The sequence below is a fragment of the Homo sapiens genome, chromosome 10, assembly GCF_000001405.40.
Source record: "Homo sapiens chromosome 10, GRCh38.p14 Primary Assembly".
Classification (NCBI taxonomy): Eukaryota; Metazoa; Chordata; class Mammalia; order Primates; family Hominidae; genus Homo; species Homo sapiens.
The window spans coordinates 130495276-130502669 of record NC_000010.11 but is presented as its reverse complement, the minus strand read 5'-3'; the positions used below and the strand labels follow the sequence as shown (position 1 = coordinate 130502669).

Below are 7394 nucleotides of genomic sequence, written 5' to 3'. Positions count from 1 at the left end.
GATCCTGAAGCATTGCATGCCTTTAGAGAAGGCAGGAAAACTTGACGGCCACAGCGTGAAGATGACATGGATCAACAGGCTCTTGTCCACACTGGGGGAAGGCAAACAGCTGCATCCTTTTTGCTGAAAGTTTGACATCACCTAATAAATGTGTCCCTATCAAAGCCCCAGCAAGCAAAGGCACCTAGGCATAGGCCCTTGAAAAGCTGCTGCCCAGTGCACCAGAAGATAAGTAGGAGAATGTCTGGAGCAGTGCAGTTCACAGCTAAGACAGGCAGAATAGACCCAATGCCCACCTACCAACAATAAGTGCAGTATACTCAGACGAGAGAATGTTCTCCAGCAGTGAAAATAGATTCGCCATATGCACAAGACATGGATGAATCTCAAAATCACCACATCAAGCAAAAGAAGCAAACAAACTTCCAGACTGTGCAGTTACCTGTGTGTAACTTCAAAAAGAGAAACTAAGCAGTCTATTGTTTAGAGACACACATAGAGGTGGGGCAACCATAAGGAAAGGCAAGGGATTCAGTTGACTTTGAGGGCAGTCTTTGGCAGGTAGAGAGTTGGAGAGAGAGACAGAGGGAAAGGTGATCAGGGTGGAACACTGGGAGGTAGGATGACCAATTGCCCAATTTTGCCAAGAAATGAGAAATTCCCTAAGATTTAGAAATGAGAAATTTCCTAAGGTTTAGAAATTTCAGTGCTACAACCAGGACAGTCTTGGGCAAAGTGGAACTATTGGCTACCCTACACCGAAAGTGTCTAAGTTTCCAGAACATTCTGATTTGGCCCTGTGGCTCTTTATTTTACCATTATTTGTAAACTAGATGTAGCAGGTGAAATGGTGTCCCCCTCCCCAAAGATATATTCACATCTTAACCCCCGTTACACTGCGAAGTGACCTTATTTGAAAATAAAAGTGTCTTTGCAGATGAAATTATATGACTATTCTGAAGATGAGATCATTTGGTTAACCAAGTGAGTCCTAAATAAAATATAAGTATCCTTATAAGAGGCAGAAGTGGAAAAGACACAGAGAGGAGGAGAGAGCCATGTGAAGATGGAGGCAGAGCCTGGAGCAATGTGGCCACAAGCCCAGGGACACCTGGAGCCCCCAGAAGCTGGAAGGGGCAGGGAAACCTTCTCCCCTAGAGCCTCCAGAGGGAGCATGGCTCTGCTGACACCTCAATTTTGGACTTGTGGCCTCCAGAACCATAACAGAATCAATCTCTTTTGTTTTAACCCACCAGGTTCATAGTAATCTTTTGTGGCAGCCACAGTGAACCAATTCACTGAGTGCATATATTTTTATACCCTGTTTTGGTTGCATAATATATTTTAAAATAGAAAGAAAAATTTTGACACCCCCCCCCCTTCCTTCCAGGCAGCAGCTCACACACCACCCCTCCCACCACCCATGACCCCTCCTCTGCAGTAGGTCTGCAGCGCGTGTTTGAAAGTCTCCTATTTTGGCTTCTTGTGCATATGTAAGTAAATGCTTCTAATCTTCCTTGCCAGATGTAAATATCCTTGAAAACACCAATCAAGACTTATGCAATGTTCATACCCCACAGTGTCTAGATCTAGACCAGTGTCAATCAAACAACAGTGCTCAATCAATGCTGCTGAGTGAATGAATAAGTAAATGAATGTCAGCAAAATTCTACAAGGCAACAACCAAGCCAGGTGAGACTCTCAATGCACATCAGATGCCAACGGCCCCTGGAGCACCCTGTGGATGCAGCCTGGAGCCAGCAGGCTGCAGTTCTTGGCAGTGCCCAGTCTGCCTTCCATCTTCCATTTCCAAATTGCCCGCTCATCCCCCGCCCCCTGACTGCCCTCCCGGTTCCTGTGTCTGCCTCCATCTCTGAGATGCTGGTGTTCACCGCTCAGCCATGGTATTTCCCATCCCATGAACCACAAGCACCCATTGCAGATGGTTCCCAGCACTGTCTGTGGATTCTCATGGCCAGCATGTGAGGTCCCGGGCTCCGGGTTTCTCCTTTGCTCACATCCTTGTCTCCCAGGTTTGGTCAGCCTATGCACAGATATTAGGATGAGCCAGAGAGGCCAACACACCTCAAACCTGTGTCCCAAAGACAGTGAGAGCAAATGACTGGCTTGCTTGTGGACAGGGACACTGCAGCAAGCCCAGGATGCCACAGCTGCCTCCACCTCCTCGTGCAGCACAGAGAGCTTCTGTTTCTGCAAAAGCACTCCTCACCCTTCCCCACCAGGCGCTGCATAGCAGCCCACCCGCAAGGCTCCACCAGGCTCCCTGCCTGGCTTCCAGGTGGGCTCAGCCATTGGGAAGCCCTGTCAGGAGATGGAAGGGAGGAAGGTGGGGAGGAGAGAGAAGGGGGAGTATTTATCCACAACCCATCCTTGCTCTCTGCCTGCAGGGCTCCCGCAGACTGGGTGCCTTCCTTGGGTGATGGACACAGCTCCTGCAAGATTCCCCATGCCCCTCATTTCCACCAGCTCTTCTTCCCACTTCTCTCTTCAATCCACAGCATGGTACATGCCCCACGATCCCATGTCCAGCACAAAGCACTGTGCCATCCCCACACTCTGCCCACCTTCATATTATCCTCTTATTAAACTCTCCTTAAATTCCACAAACTGAGGATGCATCTGTTTCCCACAAGGACTCAGGCTGGCCCAGCACCTGCGATGTTCCCCAGGAGGGCACACAGTGGGATCTCACCACCCTTCCCATCTTCCAAGCCAATGGGGCACCAGGATGCACTTACCCCCAGACAGAGCCTCAGGATACCACAGGCCAGAACTTAGAGAACAAGCTCCTGGTCAGAGATCACATGGGCAGTGAGAAGGAGCAGTGGGCTCTGAGAAAGGGGAGTGGACAGGCTGCCAGGATGCCCATTCAGGCCCCCTAACCTACTCATCTTAACCAGGAGAGCAAGGCCCAGCCAGGCAGTGAGGCTCAGCCCAATCTGTGTGTCCCAGGACTGCAGTCTGCTCTGCCTCCCAGATACCATGTCCTCAGAGAGATTGAACTGGCATCACCAGTTCAAACCCCAGCCAGTGAGATCTGCTAGGAGATGGGGACACTGAAGAGCTGAGATTAAATATCAGGTCAGAAAATACCAGCAAACCACCCATGGGGGACTTCCAGTGAAATTAGACATAGGATGGACAGGGAGTTTCTGGGGCTCTGGCGGAGAAGAGCAGGATGGCAGCAGGACCAACCAGTGCAGGAGTACTGGCCGCGACCACCTCTGCTCTGCCTGGGGGGCACAGTTTATAATATGAAAATGATGGCATCCTGCTTTGGGATCTTGGGTGTCCATGGTAGGGAATTACACTAAAGGATTCTATTTTTGTCATTTGTCATTTATTTTGACCAGCAAGTCAATGATCTTACACACACACACACACACACACACACACGTCAATTGCTCCCTTGTCCGGACACTCCTTAGGAGAGAACCAAGGCCAATCTCGGGTCCAGCACTTGCCTGACCTGGGCCCTGACTCCACAGAGCAAGATCCTCTCCCGGACCTCACATGTCAGGATTCCCACCTGGACACCTGGCCTGGATCCACGTCATCTGCCTCACAACAAGCAGTGCAATTCCTGGACATGAAGTCGCTGTTTATTAACAGAGGCCAGGGAGCGCACTCAGTTTGATGGGGAAGAGTTTAGGAAAGAGTTACTGATGGCCACGACTTCATCTCATGAGAGAAGCAGCTTCCCAGCCAAAAGTGACGAATTGTGTCTGCTGTGACTTTTCTCCTGGGAGTAAACCAGATGACCTGGGTCTCTTGGGCAGCTCCCATCATTGAACCTGTTTGAAGCTTGTATTTGGAGTTGAAGGGGTTGCTGTTACTGAACAATAACCACACACAAATATTTGTGAGGATTTTAGCAGTGATGAATGACTGCATCTGAACCGTCCCTTTAGATGACCCCAAAGCAAAATTAGCCTGTGTTAGGTAATCAGGTATTACCGTATTTAGCTAAACTTTGGAGGCTAAATTTACTACATATTCTGATTTTGACCTACTTCAAGTAAAGAAGAGACATAATTGTTTACAAAAATGAAAATTATGTCCCCAGAGATTAATTCTACTTGTTAAATGATAATTTCTTCCCATAGATTAAGTTTGGAAGACTCTAAGAACAACCACGGAAACAAGGCATTGAGCATTTACGATGGGACAGGCACTGCACATCCTCATTAACCCTCATGAGAAAGCCACAAGGCAGATAATACCAACATTCCCATTTCATGGATGAGGAAACTGAGGCAGGTCAAGGCCGAGCAGCTGCTCAAGGAGGCAGAGCCAGGACCTGACTGTGGCCCTTTGCTCTGTGAGCTCACAGGTCTAGTCCTCACTCTATGTGACCAGTCTCCTGAAACACCACGCCCTGTCTTTCCAACACGCGGTGGGGCCCTGCCTCTGAGCCCAAACCCCCTGGGGGGAATTATCCCCAGAGCCAGCACGGCAGTGGTGCCCCCATCACTACCTCACCAAGGAGGCACCAGTGTCTCACATTGAGGCATCCCTTCCTGGAGTTTGAGTCCTGACCAGAAGCATCTCAGGACCTTCCCGGATCCAGCCCCCAGGGCTGCTGCCTCACCCCGGGTTTCTGCATCCCACCACCACTTCATGCAGACGATTCTGATTCCAAGAAGGGACCATCCCTTGAGATCTGGGACCAGCCTCCCCATCTCTGGGTGTAGACCTTCGCCGATGAACCATCTCACCATGCTCTGAGCACGTGTACCTTTTTCTCTTCTACAGCACAGGTACCTCCAGAGAGCACGAACCACAGGTCATTATTTATGCATCTCCAGAACCTGGAACAGGTCTCGGCACAGAGGAGGCAGCGAGCGTTTCCCGCTGAATTAATAAAACCCGGAATCTGGTGAAATTCTTGCTGTAGGAACCAATGATTATGTGGCTGATTCAGAAAATGGTGCATAAAAATGGAAATATCCTCTGTGTTTCTAAGATAAATAGACAAAAGCCTCACCTTGGCCATGGCCTGGACCGTCCACACGGGCCTGGTTGCACAGGGCTAGTGCCAGGCATACCACAGACCTTTCCCGGACCTCTTCCCAGCTCTAAGCTGAGCCTGGCCACAGGGTTCCTAAAGCGACCTACTCCCCACAACGTCCAGGTGTGTCTGGCCACATGTCATCCTTGCCTGTCAGAGGCCATGCCTCTGCTGTAACCCCAGAATGTTTTGAATGCTTGTACTTAGAAAATCCAGAGAGCAGGGAGTGACCCCAGGACACGCTCCCACAGCATCCTCATTAGCTAGACGTCCATCTGCAGGACATGGTCCCCTTCCATGCCCCTACGCCCATGCCCACACCCACGCATCCCAGGACAGCCAGCTCAGAGGCAGAGAGGTTGAAACAGGAGCCAGCAGCCCTGCCTCAATATGGCCAGAGCCACCCGCTCCCCGACATCTGCTCTTGGGGCCTTCAGGCCTCTCTGAGCAGCCAGGGATGTGGAGGCAGCTCTGGGTCAGCCATGCAGAGAATCTGGAAGCTTCCGGCTCTGCACCCAGGGCCCACTTCTGCAGCACAGCTGGGAAGCACTTGTCTCCAGGCTTTTGAAGTGTACAAGAGTCACACACTCCTGAACGCATTCTATACTGCTGACCCAGGAAGACTAGACACTTAGATGACTTTCTACTCACTGTGCCATGGGTCTGTGCAGCACACTGTAAAATCCATGGAGACATCGGAATGTTCTGCAAAATAAATAAGAAAATAACTTTAGAGTCTGAGGGAACCACCACCATAAATAAAGTGTAACGAGGTAATGGGTTTACTGAAAGCTAAATGTTCTGCCTTTTCAGTGTGCTTTTCTGCCCTAGGGTTCAAACAACCCACCAGCTGTCCCCTCCAGCAACAAAATCCTAATAGACTGAAACTGTCGGATTGCAAGACTGCATGAGTGATGCAGTTTACTCATATAAGATGCCATCGATAATACATAAAATGTATCTAATTCCTAGACCCGAATCTAAGGAACTTGGAGGGAAGCTCGTTGGATGTTCCACAAGTGTGGGGATTCTAGATTCATGCAGAAAAGGCACAGGGTGAAATGCTGCAAATGGCTTAAGAGTAAACCCTTCCCTTCCATCCTGTGTACTAATGAAGGCATCACTGAGAAGGTTACTTCCATCCCGTGTACTAGCGAAGTCATCATGCAGAAGGTTACTTCCATCCCGTGTACTAGAGAAGTCATCATGCAGAAGGTTACCTCCATCCCGTGTACTAGTGAAGTCATCATGCAGAAGGTCACCTCCATCCCGTGTACTAGTAAGTCATCATGCAGAAGGTTACTGTCTGAATGAACTGGAAGGACACTTTTCTCCATCCTCATCCTCCTTTGATCACGATTGGACCGTGTGTAGGGAAAGGGCCCCACACCCACCAGCAGGCTTGACTGAGAGCAGGCAGGCCTTGAGACAGGCCCTGGGTTCACAGGAGCACAGGCAGCCAGCGACTGTCCTGCCGGCTCAGGCTAGGGCTGCCATGTCACTCAGAGTCCATGGGGAAATGTTGGGGCCAGTTCAGGCCAGGACCACCGTGTCACTCAGAATCCACGGGGAAATGGTGGGGCTCACAGTTCTGTAGGTCCAGCAGCTCCTTAGCTTGGCTGCCCCAACCGTGTCCTGGAAACTGTGGATTTGGGAGGAGAAGAGAAACACAGCTAAATGGCCATTACCCATTTCATCAAAAAATTTCCAAATTCAGACCCCAATAAATTATCTGGGGTCCGGCAGCTGCTGTGCACAGCATATTCAGGGGTAGACAGAAGTCTTCTTCCACCCTTCCTTTCCATTATTCGTTTGGAAGCGCCCAACTAGGGTGTGGGCTGCAGGAGCCACAGACAGGGCCAGGCTGGCACTCTGAGGCCAGCTCCGCCACCCCAAGGCTGCAATTTTGAGCCTTTTTCCCTGAGCAATGCACCCAGCTCACCCCTCTGACCCTGGCCCATGGGGGACTGGGCAGGGACCTTGGGCAAGGACACAGATGCTCACAGGCCTAGTGTGGGTCAGCCTCCCCTCCTGCCCCTGCCATTCCTTCCCTATCCGTGCATTTCTCCCTACAGCTGGGAACAGTGTGAATGCACGCTTCCACCCTGTGCCCACAGGGTTCCTGAAAGCTGGCAATCTGGACTATGAATTTCCAAGGTGAAGGAGAAGTTCATCCTTCCTTCAGTTTCACTTTCCTGAAAGGCCTCCGTGCAAACCATGGCCAACTCAATCACCTTTCCTAGAGTGCCGGGCTGAAGAGCCTGGGCTCCTCTCCTAGAGAAGAAACAGCCGCGGGGCATGTCTGAGCTCACATGCAGGGGGCATGGCCAGACACCTGGGGCAAGTGTCTGGGAAAGCACCA

General features: G+C 50.6%; 1 annotated feature.

The window, feature by feature from the left end:
- Positions 5973-6473: an enhancer, noted in NCBI's record as "H3K27ac hESC enhancer chr10:132294461-132294961 (GRCh37/hg19 assembly coordinates)". NCBI's record gives its function as "activates a minimal SCP1, AML or CMV promoter by ChIP-STARR-seq in naive H9 embryonic stem cells {active_cell/tissue: H9 hESC(naive)}" and the evidence as "EXISTENCE:reporter gene assay evidence [ECO:0000049][PMID:30033119]".